General features: G+C 36.9%; 1 protein-coding gene across 1 annotated transcript in view, besides 1 other annotated feature; it reads left to right on the top strand.

Annotated features, from left to right (window-relative positions):
• MAML2 (mastermind like transcriptional coactivator 2) overlaps positions 1–18332 on the top strand; it is a 366598-nt gene that overhangs the window by 51991 nt on the left and 296275 nt on the right. The gene's annotated exons all lie outside the window — the stretch shown is intronic.
• Positions 11424–11483: an enhancer, noted in NCBI's record as "active region_5426". NCBI's record gives its function as "activates an Ori minimal core promoter by ATAC-STARR-seq in GM12878 lymphoblastoid cells {active_cell/tissue: GM12878}" and the evidence as "EXISTENCE:reporter gene assay evidence [ECO:0000049][PMID:35858748]".

The following is an 18332-nucleotide window of genomic DNA, read 5'->3' as shown; positions in this document are numbered from 1 at the left end:
ACAGTGAACCGATATTGCGCCATTGCACTCCAGAGTGAGCAGCAACAGTGAAACTACATCTCAAAAAAAAAAAAAAAAAAAAAAAAAAAGGCTTGTGAAAAACTAACACAGATGTCACATGGCTCTAAGAAAATCCTTTAATTCTATTTTTCAAGTCTTTATTTACCAACTTTTTTTCAAGTTTTTTTGCCTTTAGAAGTTAGACAGATTCACCTCTAGAAAGTACACTGCTACATACAAAAAGTGACAAGCCTGATAAGATGAAGGAGTCAGAAACATTCTAAAATCAAAATAAAATGAAACAGAAAAACCCAACAGCCAAAGACTATGGCACATAGCATTATATACAGAGTGACCTTTGGGAGCCTCACCACTTTACAACACAGTGCCATAATTATTGTTAAGAATGGTAATTCTGAGTTATACAGACAGGAGTTGGATCATGATGAAGATAGTCTTTAAGAAAGTAGGCAGTGAATAATACCATTTCATGAAGGTTTTCATTCTAATTTTCGAAAGTAAGAAAAATTGGTACTTCAAAGGGGAATATCAAATATCTTAAAATTTACTTACATGAAACTGTATCTCATTAGGATTTGTAAGGATTTATAATGCATTTGTGGATTAAGGAGGTAGAATGTGGTTCTGGCAATGTGGATCATATGAGATCTTGAAATCTTGATTGTCTCACCAATCAGTTTGGCTACTCAATGCTTCTGGGCTAGCCTGTCAATTGACCTTCCATGGGAATGAACTATGCTAATTCTCAATCACATAGAAGAAGCAGAATAGAAGCAACACAGTTATTTTAGCAGCAATACTAACATTAGTAGTAGCAGCAGCATCAATTACTATTTAATGAGCCACATTCTCCCCATTGTCTCTTTCAAGCCACCAGGGTACCATTTTGTGCAGTAGAGTGGTAAATCAAGTGGTCTCTACTGGATTGAAAGAGTAACTGTATCTCTGTTAGAGTTCAGCTTATTACCTGGGAGTGAGAGAAGCTTTGGGGAGAATGAAGACCATTAAGTGCCCTCAAGGAGTAAGATATTGCCAAAAGTACCAACATTTCCACATGATTTTATAGGACAAAATAGGCACCAGCCATTAAGAAGAAATTGTCCAAAGATACTCAATGTTCATTCTCTGCCAACGGCTAACAAAGTAATAAAAATACACTGCTTATAAAAAGCAGTGAGAGAAAAGTGAGAGAGCTTAGAGGATCTCTAAGGCCCTTTCTAACTGATTTTCCCTGATTGTAATGATTAATTTAGTTGATATTTATTCCCAGTCCCTTCAAAACATCTTGAGTAGTTTTACATTAAAAAGTGGGCATTTGGTAATCAAAAGACTTTAAAATGATTTTTTTTTAAGAGAGAACATTCTGCCCCTTTGAATGTATGATGTGTATACCCAGTTCACTGAGAATGTTAGGCACACCAATAAATACATGATGCCAAATAAAATACATACTCTAAAAGTAAACGTAATCATACTACTCTATTCTACCTACACTTTGTATTGCACATATTCCCTTAAAACTGTCGCAGGTTAGCTAGGTTTATGAATTTTTATTAATTTAAATAAATACCCAGAGCAAGATGTTTAATGATTATAAACATATCATTTTCTTCTCTTAAATTAGGTGCCTCTAGACTTCTCACAGAATCAAGTTAGGAAAGTTACATTTATAGATGCATTAAAAATCTGGACTCTATTTCAAATCCATCAGCAGTTGCAGGTCACTCATTCATTCGTGAGTTATATGGGATTCTGCAAACATTTATGAAGTGCCTACGAAGATTCTAAGCAATGTTTAAGTATAAGGATCTGTTCCTTGACAATAAGAGTCTGCCTATTGTAGTTAAATTTGTAATCCGGATAATTATATAAAAGCACAGTTATCCTTGAAGACTATATAGACTGAAGAGTTAAATAAAAGTGGTATTACTTAGACTTTGCATAGAGTTCAAAGATTTAACTAAAAATCTGTGGTCTAAACACAATAGTCTTTTTCCCAGTCGTATTTTTAGAAAGCCAAGTTTCAGGTAGAACTAAATGCTTTGATGTCCCTCCAAGTCTTTTTCTATCATTCTGTCATTTCATGACTAAAGTACTAAAATTTAACATAGTTCTCAAAGATGTTTAGAAAATGAAACAGGCTTTACACATACCATGGTCACCTTTCCCCTTTCCCCATGACGGTTTTCTGTCTCTAAGTACACTGCGATAGCCATGTAATTGGAAAAATACAAAATTAATTATCAGAGCATACATATTAAAAATTCAACATGTGCTGGCTTGGCTTATTAGTAGAAAAATTATATTTTTGACTTTAAAGATGTGATTCTGTGTTTAGGTATCATCATTCCAGAATTACCTTAATTTAATGTATAGTAGAAAAACCTTTTGAGTTTCGCCGTGCTTCTGAAAATAATTAAAATTAATTTAAATGTATAATACACAAGTGTTTGAATGCCACATATTTACCAGCTTTATACCTTAATTTAAATTCACATTGGAGGCTAATGAAGAGTCAGAATTAATATTACGTGAATAATAATGGTATTACCATTTGTTGCTTGGCAGTTTGATTTTCATCCTACAGGTCATTTGGAAAATGTGCTTATCTGTTTTTGGTTGTTTTTTTTTTTTTTTTTTTGAGACAGAGTCTCGCTGTTGTCACCCGAGCTGGAGTGCAAGGGCACGATCTTGGCTCACTGCAACCTCCATCTCCCAGGTTCCAGCAATTCTCCTGCCTCGGCCTCCCGAGTAGCTGAGATTACAGGTGCCTGTCATCATGTCCAGCTAATTTTTGTATTTTTAGAAGAGACTGGGTTTCACCATGTTGGCCAGGCTGGTCTCAAACTCCTGACCTCAGGTGATCCACCCGCCTCGACCTCCCATTTATCTGTTTTATACCTTGTTCTAGATAGTAGCCAATTAACATAATCTGCAAAATCAGCAGATATCCAGCTTCAAGTAACAGTTACCCTGATCATGTTAAAAAATATTGTACATTTGCTCTGAGATCTAATTTTTTTCTACTTCTGTTTCTTTTTGCATCAACTATTTCCATATATTGAACAAGGATAGAATATTTCCTGTGGTTTTTCAGGTGGTTTCCAAGATTTGTCATTCAGATTTATAATACCCAACTTAATTATTTCAGTGACATGGTGAAAGTGTATCAGGATACCATTTCGCTTACTCTCAGAGTTTATGTAGGGCCCTTTTGGGATTCAGTGTCTCCGTTCCACTGCACAAAATTGCAAGCAACGTGTATTTAATGATTCAGCTGATAAGCCCTTCCTTTTATGAACTATGAGTTAGTATTAAAATGAAGGGTTGGGATTTCTTAACTTTTTAGCCATTTAATCTTTTAACATGGGATCAAGCAACAGAATGTAGCAGAAGAGTATTATGAAAATGAGAACATTGAAAGATAATGTTGATGCTTGATTCTTTCACTTAATAAGGTGTCTGAGTATTTAATGATTTTGTTTTGTAGTTCAATTACCGTAGAACAATCTACTTAACGCTAGATTGTCTGTCGGGACCATGATGATTCTCAAATAAATATTGTATTTACCAATTCTACTCTTAATTTTTTTAAAACTAAAGACAAGACAAAAAAGTAGATGTCTCTATAATACATTTATATGAAATTAAATTTTCTTAGTTTATTTTTGCTTTAGAATGCCAGTTGTAATCAAAGGACCATTGGCAAGACACTGGCCATTAGTAAGGCATCAAACTTTGAGCTTTGCTTTACTTTAAAAAAGTTATACCATGCAAGGATAGAAGTAGACATAGGCATTCACATAATCCCCTGTACATCCTCCAGAGGGGTTTTGTCAGATGAATTTCCCCCAAAGGGCCTCTTAGTTACCATCAGCTTCTCTTTGGGACATATATATTTCTGACTGTGGTCATTTGTTAAGGAGAAGTTTAGCAGACGTTATTAATCAAATACATTTAAGAGAGCTATTGCTTTTCACTTTCTCCCATGATGTAATGCTCTTATAATAACAGGTTTTGTGGGGTCCTCTTTATACAACTATCTGATGACAATATTCTTCATTCTTGTAAGCTCAGTTAACATCTTTTCACTTCCCATCTGATAAGTGCTAGCTGCTGATTTTTTTGCTCAGTATCTCCATTTATATCAATTTATTTTCATCTCTAGAGCAGCGCATCAGGCTGCTCTCTCGTGAATATATTGTTACTTTTTTCTGGCACTGGAATATACAACTATCCATGACAGCAAAATTTGAGGGCCATATTGAGATCACCGGCTGATATGGTGACCATGTAAATATAAGTTTAAATTGCTTAGTTCCACGTTAGAATAGTTTAATCAATTTCTGTCCCAGAAACTGGATATGAAACAGGTTAGATGAGGAAGCTTATATGGAAAAAAATTATCTTTCATCCTCTCCACATATACATTTTTCCTGAGACTAGGTCATATGTATATTCATTTTGTACACATTGGGGAATTGGCATAGTAATTTATTCAACAAACATTAATTAGCACCTTACTTTGTGACAAATCTGTAAAAAAAAAAAAAAAAGATAAAAAGAATGATAATAGCTAGAATTTATTGAAAACCCACTATATGCAAGATTCTAGGCCCTTCTTATATACTAATACTAACAGTTTAAGAACTTAAATCTCTTTTTCCCCTAGTGGGATTCTTATTCCTTTCTTTTTCTTCAATGTTTGAGTTCAGGGGTACATGTGCAGAATGTGCAAGTTTGTTACATAGGTAAACATGTGCCATGGTGGTTTGCTGCACAGATCAACCCACCACCTAGGTATTAAACCTGGCATCCATTAGTTATTCTTCCTGATGCTCTCCCTCCCCCTGCTCCCTCCGACAGGACTGACTCTGTGTTGTTCCCCGCAATGTGTTCATGTGTTCTCGTCATTCAGCTCCCACTTATAAGTGAGAAAATGCAGTGCTTGGTTTTCTGTTCCTGCGTTAGTTTGCTGAGGATAACAGCTTCCAGCTCCATCCATGTCCCGGCAAAGGAAATGATCTTATTCCTTTTTATGGCTGTATAGTATTCCATGGTGAATATGTACCACATTTTCTTTATCCAGTCTACCATTGATGGGCATTTGGGTTAATTCCATGTCTTTGCTATTGTGAATAGTGCTGCAATGAACATACGCATGCATGTATCTTTATAATAGAATGATCTATATTCCTTTGGGTATATACCCAGTAACGGGATTGCTGGGTCAAATGGTATTTCAGCTTCTAGAACTTTGAAGAATTGCCACACTCTCTTCCACAATGGTTGAACTAATTTACATTCTCACCAACAGCATAGAAGCATTCCTTTTTCTTTGCAACCTCACCAGCATCTGTTGTTTCTTGACTTTTTAATAATAGCCATTCTGACTGGCATGAGATGGTATCTCATTGTGGTTCTGATTTGCATTTCTCTAATGATCAGTGATGTTGAGCTTTTTTTCATATGTGTTTTGGCCCCCTGAATGTCTTCATCTGAGGAGTGTCTGTTCGTGTTGTTTGCCTACTTTTTAATGGGGTTGTTTGGGGTTTTTTTCTTGCAAATTTAAGTTCCTTGTAGACTCTGGATATTAGACCTTTGTCAGATGGATAGATTGCAAAAATTGTCTTCCATTCTGTAGGTTGTCTATTCACTCTGATGATAGTTTCTTTTGCTGCACGGAAGCTCTTTAGTTTAATTAGATCCCATTTGTCAATTTTTGCTTTTTTTGCAATTGCTTCCGGTGTTTTCCTATGAAATCTTTGCCTGCACCTATATCCTGAATGGTATTGCCTAGATTTTCTTCTAAGGTGTTTAAAGTTTGGGATTTTACATTTAAGTCTTTAATCCATCTTACTTTTTGTGTAAGTTTGAAGGAAGGGGTCCAGTTTCAATTTTCTGCACATGGCTAGCCAGTTCGTGGGATTCATATTCTAAGTAAGGGAACAAGCACAAAGGCAAATATTTACAATAGGTGCTACAGTAGAAATATGAGTAGACGTGGTTTCATATATCTGTTAAGAGAAGAGAGTCATGTCAAAATGTTGGTTTTCATGGTTTGAATACTCACTCAATCCTGACTTAGTAGCTGTGTGACTTTGGACAAGTTCCTTAACCTTTCTCTGTGGCTCAGTATCTTCAACTGTGAAATGGGTCTTATTGGGGCAAGAGATATGGTTGCATAGACTATGCACTGCACAACTCCATCCAGCCATATACGGCACAATTCAACAATCAATGATGAGTACTTCATAGGATAGTGAAGAGGATTACCATATAAAACATTTCTAAAGTGATTAGAATGTTCAGCACATTACAGGTTCTGAGTAAATATTATTATAGAGTGATGAGTTAGAGTAACTGAAGAGACTGATTCTTCATGGGAGAGGAATATTTATGGAGATTTTGTAAGAAAGATAAGACATTGATCCAAATTCATATTTTTCTTTCATCAATTCTAAACTGCGGTTGCTAATATTCCTGAAAAACTAATGGTGTTTTGCTAGCAGAGTTCTGGTCTTACACAGTAGGAGCTCAGAAACTATTTGTAAGCCAAACCAAATGGTGTCACAGTTACTTTAGCACCATCAGACTGATGTTGACACCTCAAAACCCAGTATTGCAATCATAAAGAAGAATTGCAGATTCACTGTTAGGTTTCCAAATCTCACCTGTGGAAAAGAGCTTATCAATTCAGTGTTGAGAACCAATGAGAAGAAACTATTGTTAACTTGGAAAGATGAAACCATTAAAAGAAGCAAAAGCAACAGAAGAAAAACAGGCTGAAGATGGTGATAAGTTTGATACGGACTATGTTGTTAGAGATATTAGGAGATAAAATATCCAAATGGAAGTGTTTATTGGGTGGTTGAAAATATGGACCTGCACCTCTGGAGAGGATTCATATTCAGGAACAGTGATTTTGAAATTACACATATGTCTTTGAGGAAGAAATTTGTGGGAGTGGAAGATCTTGCTAAACAGACAAATTGAAAGTGGTACACATCAAGAAATGGCTACATTTTGAGTGTATGAGTGGAGAAACGACTTTCCTTCAGCCAGTTGGCAAGGGAGAAAGGAGTTTTAAGAATGGAAGTGATATTATATAGTCTCAAATGCAGCAGAAAGATGTAAGAGGATGAGAACTGAAAGAAAAGTTTGATAGAAGGATATAGTTGATTATCTAGAGGGCAAAATGATAAGTACTTTCAGTAAAGTTTTGAAAAAGGAAGACAATTGTGGATTAAGTAGGAGATGAGGAAGTGGAAATAACTTATATATGGTATATAGAAGAAAGTCGTCCATTAGAAGAAAGTTAGAGACCAAAAAATCTCAAATTTTTGTTTTCTAGGTTAAAATAACCACTTTTATAAAGCAGAGGTAAATCAGCAAGTAGAGAGGAAGAGGTCGAAAATGTAAAAGAAAGCAGGAGTGAATCACTAGCATATAATAGCTCAATGAGGAATGATCAGCGACCCTTGTGAATCCAGCTGGACTTCAGAACGTAGAGGACAAATGTTGGTTGGTCTAGTGGGTTCATGACTTAATGTGTTCCTCTTCTCTTTAAATTGTAGGCCCCAGATACATTTCTCACATGTTTAAAGATTTCTCCAGTTAGATACTTCAACTAAGAAATTTTTAGTTCTTCAAGGCAAAAGGAATCATTCATTAGTGTTTATTTTCACTTTTGGAGAAAAAGATTGTAGCACACAAAGCCTGCATTTTGTTTTTGTTGGTATAATGGCATCTCATGGTTTCTTGATATTCTTCTATTTCCCATGTCAAGTGTTCTAATAAACGTTGTAGAAAACAGTATTAAACTCACACATCTACAAAAAAATGTGCTAAAGAGTGAGTGCCCTTACTTAATTTCTGGTTAATAAACTAATGTGAGATTAAAATAGACAAGGAGAACTGTAATTGCATTTTTGGTGTGGACAGCAAGGTCTGTAGAGAGCACAAAGTTTAACAGGTCTGCAGTGAATGAAAAAGAAAAACCCCCACACCTTGACAGTTAACATCACTTTAGTTTATGGCTTGTTTAGTTTTAAATTTTATAAGTGATCAAAAGTTAAAGTTTGTGGATTACACGATCTTTCATTCGCCCTTGTTGATGGATTGGTTCCTGCTTTCCTGAGTTTTTAATGGAAACAATTATATCATATAAGAAACTATCTCACTTGTTTCTATTCCCTGGCATCATATATGGAAAAATACAGCAGTTAGTTGAATTGTCTGCTAGAAAGTGGCCTTTAAAGGAAAATATAAGTGGAAGAAAATTTGCAAGTGTGTACATTAAGGTTGAAGTGAAAAGGGGAAGGGAGAAGGAGGAGGATGACTGAGGTCACATTCCAATTTTTGAAGATTATTTGCTAATGTTCATGAAGGAAGTTACAGTTGCCTCTGAAATGTAGTACAAATTTTTTGAGGTCATTTAAACTTGTATTATAAAATTCAACATGATTAGAGATTGTAGGGAAATCATATCTGACCTTGGCTATATTGTCAAAACAGAATTTTCTATCTAATTTGAATCAAGAAACCTCACTTTTTCCTGTGCAATTGAAGTGAGTATTTCTGGCAAAAAGTATGTCTTCTAATCTAACAGTAAGATGGAGAGATAATTTAAACAAACAGCTTCAAGATAAAACTAAAAAATTAGAAAAATTGCCGCAGATTTCAATTCTGCTTTGATTTTGAAGACCTGGAGAGTGGACATCAGCATACTTTGTTCTACTCAGTAGCTATATTCTTGAAAAGTTGTATCTGAAACCAAGTTCCTTACTGAAAAATAATTTAAATCCACTCAAATTGCTTGAGCTAAAAGAATTTCATTGTGACTCTTCTTGTACAGTGAAGAATGCCTTCATAATGATCATGCCAAGTACATACATGCAGTCATTATTATTATTATTATTATTATTTTTTTTTTGAGATGGAGTCTTGCTCTGTCGCCCAGGTTGGAGTGCAGTGACTTGATCTCCGCTCACTAAAAGCTCCGTCTCCCGGGTTCACGCCATTCTCCTGCCTCAGCCTCCCGAGTAGCTTGGACTACAGGGGCCCGCCACCACGCCCAGCTAATTTTTTGTATTTTTAGTAGAGATGGGGTTTCACCATGTTAGCCAGGATAGTCTCAATCTCCTGACCTCGTGATCCGCCTGCCTCGGCCTCCCAAAGTGCTGGGATTACAGGCATGAGCCACCGCGCCTGGCCTACAGTCATTATTTTTCAAGTTCTGATTTATTTGTGATGGTAGTTTGTTTGCTCAGTAGATCAGGTCTTTTTTGTTTTTGTTGTTTTTTGTTTTGTTTTGAGACAGGTCTTGCTCTGCCACCCACGCTGGAGTACAGTGGCACAATCAGAGCCCACTGTAGCTTTGACCTCCCTGGCTCCAGTGATCCTCCCACTTCTGCCTCCTGAGTAGCTGGGATTACAGGTGCATGCTGCCACATCCAGCAAATTTTTAATTTTTTTGTAGAGGTGGGATTTTGCCATGTTGCCCATACTGATCAGTAAGTCTTAAACTGGTGATCCCCTCTACTTCATTGCAAAACTCATTGATATCCCCAAAAATCAAAGGCATATTTTAATATTTCTCAAAACCAGGGCTGCTAACTCAGCTGACAAACAGGGAAAAAAACTATTATTCCTTTTCCCTCAACCAGTGCCTCCCACTACCCTGCCCAGACCCCAGGGATTCCTGGGCAGATACCACTGTGGGCTACCCTAGCCAGCCTTTTGCAGCCCCATTCCTGCTTGCTTCCCCACACCTCCCCAGCCAGAGCAGACCTGGACCCCAACAGAAATATTCACCCCTAGCGGCAACACTAGCACTCTCTTGGACAAATGTTTAGTGATCTATCCATCACCTGCCACCAGACCCCACTTCCCTTCCATCAGTGGCTATTCTCTGTTGACTGACTCTTCCCTGGAATCACCTTCACATGGTGATTTGTGGGAATTACAGCTCCCATGTTCTTCTGGGTTGTTAAATATTTTGAATATTACCCCCATACATACACTTTTTATGATAATCAGCTTGAATGTTCAGTCTTTTGATACATTTTAAAAGAAAATTCTTAAGTACACATGATTTGAAAACTTGCAAATAATGCATTAATTTGCATTTTAATATTAATGATGCTTAATGTACTCACTACATTGGAAAATACTGTTACAAGTTTTATTAGTTCATTCATCTGAGAGTTAAACTGATATACATATACATTGTTCTTACTTTGTATCAAAGATATGCAAAATACTTGAGTACAGAAGTAATGATGAAGTACCTACCCCTCTGGGAGCTTATAGCTTAAAATGGGATATATATGAGATAAATGAGAAAGGTTTATACCACAGAATAACATTATGTAAATCAATTTAACCAAATAACAACACCAGAGGGAAAGGACTTTTAGCTACCACTCATCATTATGTCCCAATATAATGTTCCAGTTCATGTTGCAAATAGGGCAGCACCCTGGCTATTGTGTGGTAGTCTGTAAGTAGTGAAATAGCTGTGGGGTAAGGCAGTGAGTCTTTCACCTTAGGGAGGGTGCGAGCCCAGACCCACTTGACCATCTATCACAAATCTTGCTGAAGTTCTAAGATCCCTTTCAACTACAAATTTTCATGCTTCCATAGAATCATCCCTGACCTCAGGAAAAAATACAAAAATGGAACAAACAAAACAGAATAGTAAAACCTGAAGTAAGAAAAAAAGAAATGAATTTGACATTGTACAGATCAGGAGAAAGAAAGTTCATTAACAGTTTCAAGATCCCTGCGTTTTCACCCAGCAGGAAACAAATTACCATGAGTTAAGGTGGGGAAATTACTGGCAATTCATTGCCTTCTTTTAAAGACTTTAAAAAAAAATGAGTAAATAATTTTAGACTATTACCCCCTTTCCATGAGAGATACACAGCTAGTTAAACTGCCATGCATATTAATTTTTTGTTTTCATTTTATTCCACCTACCAACTACACAGTGTCTGCTTTCCAAAATTAGTTTGAAAGCCAATGACCTGTGTTTGAACTGGGTGAAATAGCATAGCAGTTCACACCTGGAATAAAAGAATGATTGTGTGTGAGTCTGTTAATGGCTGTGTAGAGCTATATCTCTATATGGAGCTATATAAAAATATATTTTATACATGCCAGATTCATTTAGACTTGAATTGACCCTGTGGTAAAGCAGCAGGAATAAAATATTTTTTTGATAAAGCACTCACTCAAATAGAGAAATGAGCTCTTGCAGTTACCATTTAATCTGTGACTTCTTTTTGAGATGCAGAAAAACTCCATTATAAAGTGCTCAGTTCATCCAGGGACACAGACACACTGTGGGTTATAACACACCCTCATCTGCATGGTGAGGTACATGAGTCAGCTGCTCTTCTCTCAGGAGGGTGGCTTTAAAGCTCCACAGTCATGCATGCTGCCAATTCCAGATTGTCCAAACCTGTAGGTTAGCAAGGACACAGGTGAGCCATAGGTATGACATGTTCATAAAAAGAAAAATATATTTTAATACAAAACATGTCAGGGGAGTGGAGAGTGTCAAATTGAGGACAGGAGAGACCTAGATTCAATGCCATAGTTCTTGGCTAATCTCTGAGAAGCTTGTTAGTCACCCTCTTTCTCCTTCCCTTACTCTCCTGTATCTTCCCTTACATACTGCATAGTCCCTTGTAATTTACAAGACATAAAATACTTCCTTTGTTCATCTGTATACTGAATGTAAGAATGAACAAAAGGTCATCATAAGGACAGCCTGTGAGTTTATGCACTGCATACTGCAAATGACCCACTCCAGCAATGGGAAGACACCCCTAACATTGCTTCTCTCCTTATAACGAAAATATTATTCATCATCAGCTTTAAAATGGATCTTCTCACTCTGTGCAGTCTCCGTGGTAACGTCCCATAAGCCCAGGGTTTTAAGACCTTTCTCCTGTGCTCTAAGCCTACATATCTAACTGCCTAATGGCCTTTCCACTTGAATGACACATCATTCAGTTTCAGTGTCCTAAACTGAAGTTTCAACTCCAAGTCTGTTTTTTTCTCTTGTAGTCTTCATGTCAGTCAATCAGTCTTTTATCCTAACCAGAAATATGTGAGTTCTCATGGATTCCTCCCTCTCACTCACTTTTCAGTTCTATAATCACCCAGTTCCTACATTGTTTGCATCTTAAATATCTCTTCTAGTCCTCCCTTCTCCTTTATACCCACTGCCACTGCCACAATGTTAGCTCCTTCAGATCTCATATTTTCTCACTTTTATTGCTATAGACATACCCCCCGCAGTTATCCTACCTCTAGGCAAATCCCTTCCAAAATGCAGCTGCCAGTGTGATCTTTGTAAAATGCTTTTATGATAAAGTTCAAACTCATTAGCAAAGCACACAAAGACCTTTGTGATGTGGTATTGCTGAATTAAACTACTGGCAGCCCTAGAAAGGTAAAGTGTATTTGATGCTTCTGTGCTGTTCCCTTAGCCCAGAAAGCCCTTCCAGTTTCTGTTTAGTAAAGTCCTATTCATCTTTCACTACTCAATGAGTCATAAGTAATCCCATTAGGAAAGCCTGTGTGATCTACCTCCTCCCTAATTTGCCAGCTTGAGTTTGCTTCACCCCTTCATAATACTCAGTCAATCATAATGTCTTATAATCCATCATAGCACCTCACACAATGAACTCCAATGTCTGGTTTGTTGGGATGTCCGCCTTACTACATTGTAAGCTTCTTAAGGGTAGAAACCAGTTCTGATAGGCTTAGGGCAGTGACCACCAACAGAAAAAGTACTTGGTAAATGTCTAACACAATCTGTTTTACTTTTTCCAGAGCACGAGGCATGCATGAAAGAGATTAATTTACTCCACATGGGAAGTTACTACCCAGGCTTACCAAAAGGTCAGGTTTATATAAAGTGGCGTTCCTTTTTTTCCCCCTTAGTAAGACATTAAAAAAAGAAACCACAATTGAAAAGCCAAGAGCTATCTGTGATACGGAATATGAACACAGAATCAGATTCTCATAGCAGCTAAGCTGTTCCCCAGGCAGTGGTTCTCAAGGTGTGCTTCCAAGAACAGCAGCAGCAGCGGCATCACACATGCAAATTACTGGACTCTGCCCCAGATCCACAGAATTGGAGACTGGGGATGGGGCTTAGCATTCTGTTTTAACAAGTCCTCCAGATGATTCTGTTGTGTATCTAGCTTGAGAATCACTGCCCTGGAGAATGGAAAAAAAAAAAAAAAAGTTCCCACAGAAGGGTTTTAGCAGTTCTAGAGCACCTACTATGTGCCAGGCCATTTATTTTGTTTACCTTATTAACTTTTTCAGGATACTAAATTAGTACTTCAGGATTTAATTCTTCTAAGATATCTTTTATTCCATTTTAAATTATTTTAGAAAGTTCTAATTTTTTTTTTTTTTTTTTTTTGAGGCAGAGTGTCTGTTGCCCAGGCTGGAGTGCAGTGGCATGATCTCGGCTCACTGCAACCACAAGCGATTCTCCTGCCTCAGCCTCCCAGATAGCTGGGATTACAGGCGCTTGCTACCACGCCCTGCTAATTTTTGTATTTTTAGCAGAGACGGTGTTTCACCATGTTGGCCAGGCTGGTCTCAAACTCCTGATCTCAGGTGATCCACCTGCCTCGGCCCTCCCAAAGAGCTGGGATTACAGGCGTGAGCCACCGCGCCTGGACAGTAAGTTCTAATATTTGATAGTAGAATACAGTGATTGTACTTAGCAACAATATTTTGTATATTTCAAAGTAATGGAAGAGAAGACATGAAGTGATACCCACAGATACAAATGGTAAATACTCGAGGTGACAGATACCCCAAATACCCTGACTTGATCATCTCTCATTCTGTGCGTGTAACAAACACTCATGCATCTCATAAAGATGTAAAATATTATGTATCAATAAAAGAAAAAAAAATCGAGATACAGAAGTCCTAAGTTTGCTATAGTTCCTGGCCTGGTAAAAATGGTGTATCCTCTACATGCCTTTTCTCAACACATTCCGTGGGTGACTCCTCTCTTTTTTATACTGAGTATGGCACTGAACTGACACTTTAAATATATTGCCTTGTATCATAAATATCTGAGCTTATCTTTCATGCTGTGAGTTTTTACAGAGCATGAATCCTGCTCTGTGTACAGAGGCCTGCCGCACTCGGCTTTAGATAGTACCTTGCACGTATGAGCTAAACACTTGATAAATATCAGTGGGATGAGTGCATAAATCTTACAATATTTATCATAGTACTATCCAGATTTAGGTTTCCTTTAGGTTTCCACTATAACTGCACAGAGCAAGGATTAAAAGCTTTTTTTTTTTTTTTTTTTTTGGGTCTGAGAAGCTATGGAGAGGAGGAAATGGGAGAAATAATTATGAAAATGGGGAGCTAACCACATTTTTTTCCTCTTCTGTTTTTTAGTAGCCTTTTCGCAAGCCACTTCGACCTGATTGGTGTTTTAAAGGCACAGACATTGCCATTTCAATGTGTGGATCCATTTAACTACGTGGATCCAAAAAGCTAGTTCTTATGCTCTGCCTCAATTATAAAATCTTCTTTGGCCTAAACTTGGCCTTGGAACTATGGTTGTCGGTACAGGCTGGCATGACCCTAAGGTGTCACTCTCAGCTTTTGAGGGTGCTCTGTTCAAAGACAGACAAGGACTTTTCTTTCCTTAAATGCGGTCCTCTGTGACTTTGCTGTTTTAGATTTTAGGATTAAGTTTAAAATGTGTTGGGCACTGACAAGGATAAGAAATTGTTCTTCCTGTCCTCTCTATAGGCAGAAAACCATCTTTTCCAAGAGAGAGAGATGGCAAGGGTGTAACAGCACAGTTCAGAGTTATCAGTCAGCAAGAGTGAATGTGCATAGCCTTCCTCTCAGTAAAGTGGATCCATTTGAAGGAGAAAAAGGAAACAAAAGTCTCTGACATTATATTATTCTGTCAGTTACTGCTTTCTCTAGAAGTAGAGAATGGACCAGGAAACCGGTAGCTGCTTTGATATTATTTTACCTTTTTCCTTTCTTGAGAATTATAGATTCTGTACCTGTTTTCATGGACATGAGATAGCAAAATCCCCTCAGGCACAAGCATGTGAGGGAAAACTGATTTCCCTGCTATCTTCCTGGCTAGAACATTCTTACTTAGCCTACTCACCATGCTAGACATTTTCCAGTCGTTCTAAAACCCTCTTGATGAAGGAATGTAAGTTCCTGGAGCTTGGAAGTAGGACCTTCTATGGGTTAAAATATTTAGCTCTTACCCATAGTGAAGAGCTAACGACATTGATGATATGGCTAATTATAATAGATATAATTAGGTAGGTAAGTTAAAACAGACATAGAGACCAGCTGAAGAGTCTTTATTTTTATTGATTTGTAGGATAAGGAAATATTTTTATATGTGCTATTATTTCTATGGTAGGAATGTTTAACTTAGGGAAAATTAATGGAAAAACAAAGCTTTCTACACTTCTCAAGTGTCCTGCTTCAGGCAGTTTTACCTACAACAGCACTGATGTTGAATTTCACTTTAAGTTGTCACATGGTCTGAGTTGTACAAAAAGAAAGAAAAATTCTGGCCGGGTGTGGTGGCTCATGCCTGTAATCCCAGCACTTTGGGAGGTCAAGGCGGGTGGATCACGAGGTCAGGAGACCAAGACCATCCTGGCTAACACGGCCATCTCTACTAAAAATACAAAAATTAGCTAGGCGTAGTGGCGGGTGCCTATAGTCCCAGCTACTCGGGAGGCTGAGGCAGAAGAATGGTGTGAACTCAGGAGGCAGAGCTTGCAGTGAGCAGAGATCACGCCACTGCACTCCAGCCTGGGTGACAGAGCGAGACTCTGTCTCAAAAAAAAAAAAAAAAAAAAAAAAAATTCCTTAGTGTTTGGATAAAGAAGAAAATGCAAAAGTTAGGATATGTTTAAGAACTCATTCATTAATTATATTTTTAGCCATTATTCTAAAGGGATCTGGGCACAAAGGTTATTCTCTGCAGCATTTTTATTATAGCAGAAAGGGGCAAGTAACCTAAATGTCCACCCATAGGGAATTTATTAAATATATTATGATACATCTATACAATGGAATATTATGCAGCCATTAAAATTGAGATACAATACATATACATTAACATGGAATTAGTGCAACAATAAATTAAGTGAATAAGTAGACTTTAAAATATGTATAAATGAGCCCATTTATGTGAAATTATACATATCTAATATGCACATATATACATTGAGATTCATGACAAGTTCATCAAACTATTTACAGTAGTGATCTCTAGGGTATTAGATTCAGGTGATATTTATTTTCTTCTTAGACCTTTTAGCAATATTTGAATATTTACAAAAAGAATGCATTTTTTTCCAAATTAAACATCTAATCCAGATATAAAAGAGTTAGACATATGAGCTATATAGCTCATGAGCAGCATCTGTTTCAACTTATGTTTTATTTTTCCAATGCAATTCCACATTGCTAGCCTTTTCATTAGTAATAGTTTAATTAATTAATAGGTTTAACTAAACCTATAATTAAACATTAATTAATACCTAATTTAATATTTCTGGTTTTTAAAGTTTTCATAATAGAAATAACTACATAATTCATAAGGAATAAGGACAAATAAAAGAAATACTCTAAAACTTTATAGTTAACAGAGAAACAAAAATACAACAACAGGAAAGCTATAGTAGAGAGAAAGAGACGTGTAAAGATGTCTATAAAGAAAAAGATGAGAAATCCTTTATAAAAGTAGGGGCCAGGTGCGGTGGCTCACGCCTGTATTCCCAGTACTTTGGAAGGCCGAGGTGGGCCGATCACAAGGTCAGGAGATCGAGACCATCCTGGCTAACACGTGAAACCCCGTCTCTACTAAAAATACAAAAAAATTAGCAGGGCGTGGTAGCGGGCTCCTGTGGTCCCAGCTAGCAGAAAGGCTCACGCAGGAAAATGGCGTGAACCCGCGAGGCGGAGCTTGCAGTGAGCCAAGATGGCGCCGCTGCACTCCAGCCTGAGCTACAGAGCGAGACTCCTTCTAAAAAAAAAAAAAAAAAAAAAAAAGGAAAAGGAAAAAGAAAAAGAAACAAGAAAAAGAACTAGGAATAAATGAAAATACCAAGAGAGACTGCAACTAAGAAAGGAGACAGGATAACAGGATGATACTATCTTATAATGAATGGGAATTACATGTTGTAAAAATGTAAAAATAAGGATTTGACCCCTGCAACAATCCAAAGAGTTTAGTAAATGAAAAGTTTTAAATCTCCATTTGATATATGAAAAATGAAGGCCTGGGAAAGGCAAGCATCTTGCCTTATATCACAAATTTGATATGGAGGCTGGCTATCTCCTTACTTGTTATATACCAGGCATCCTACAAATTGTCTTATTTAAATCTCAATAATTTAGGGAGTATCACCCCCATTTTGCAGATGAGAAAACTGAGTCCCACAGTCATAAAATAGCTTGCCCTAAGTCACATAACTACTACATAGACTAAACTGGACTCTAACTTAGGTCCCTTATTCATATTTCCGATGATGTTTGCTTTCTTTTTTCTTTTTAGCACTATGGAGAATAACTTGCAATAGAAAGAAAAAATATGAATAAGATAAACAAGGATAAGGATGAAAGCTACAAAAGAAGAAAAAAAGTTCCAAAATTAACAACCATTTGTTTAAACATATGACAGTAAATTACTTCATTTGCATGAAATTACTATTTTGGGGTAGCCTAATTTTTCCCAGGTCAAATATTGGTGAAGCCCAGTAAATTGTGTTCCTTTTAATCTAATTTGAACTTTAAAAAAAAATACGTTTCAAGAGATAAACTTTTTTTCCAAAAGTCATTTACAACTTTTATGGGGAAATAAGAAAGGCTGTGCAAGACAGACAAGATTATTGCCTTGATTTATAAACAGTACAGAATTCAGATTGTTTTCAATTGCTGTCAGAAGCAGTACCTTACTTTCAATGCAACTTGATGCCAGTTCTGATTGTGACTGTCCTCTTGTTTCCATGGTAACAAACTTTAATGTGATCAGCATTACGTAGGAACTTTTTGCATTGAAACAGGCAAGAAAAAAAAATTCTGATTCTCTGTGCCTGAAACACATATAGTAGGGGCTGAATAAATGTTTATGGAATGAAAAAGTAAAATAGAAATAGTCTCAGCCTTACAACTGCGTGCTAAACAGATGTGGTGCTAAAATTTGCATATGTAAACCTCTTCATGGGACAGAATAACCTTAAGTAAAACAGAAAGGT

Source organism: Homo sapiens, chromosome 11 (genome assembly GCF_000001405.40).
Source record: "Homo sapiens chromosome 11, GRCh38.p14 Primary Assembly".
Classification (NCBI taxonomy): domain Eukaryota; kingdom Metazoa; phylum Chordata; class Mammalia; order Primates; family Hominidae; genus Homo; species Homo sapiens.
The sequence above is the reverse complement of the archived record's forward strand: the minus strand, read 5'-3'. Positions and strand labels throughout refer to the sequence as shown.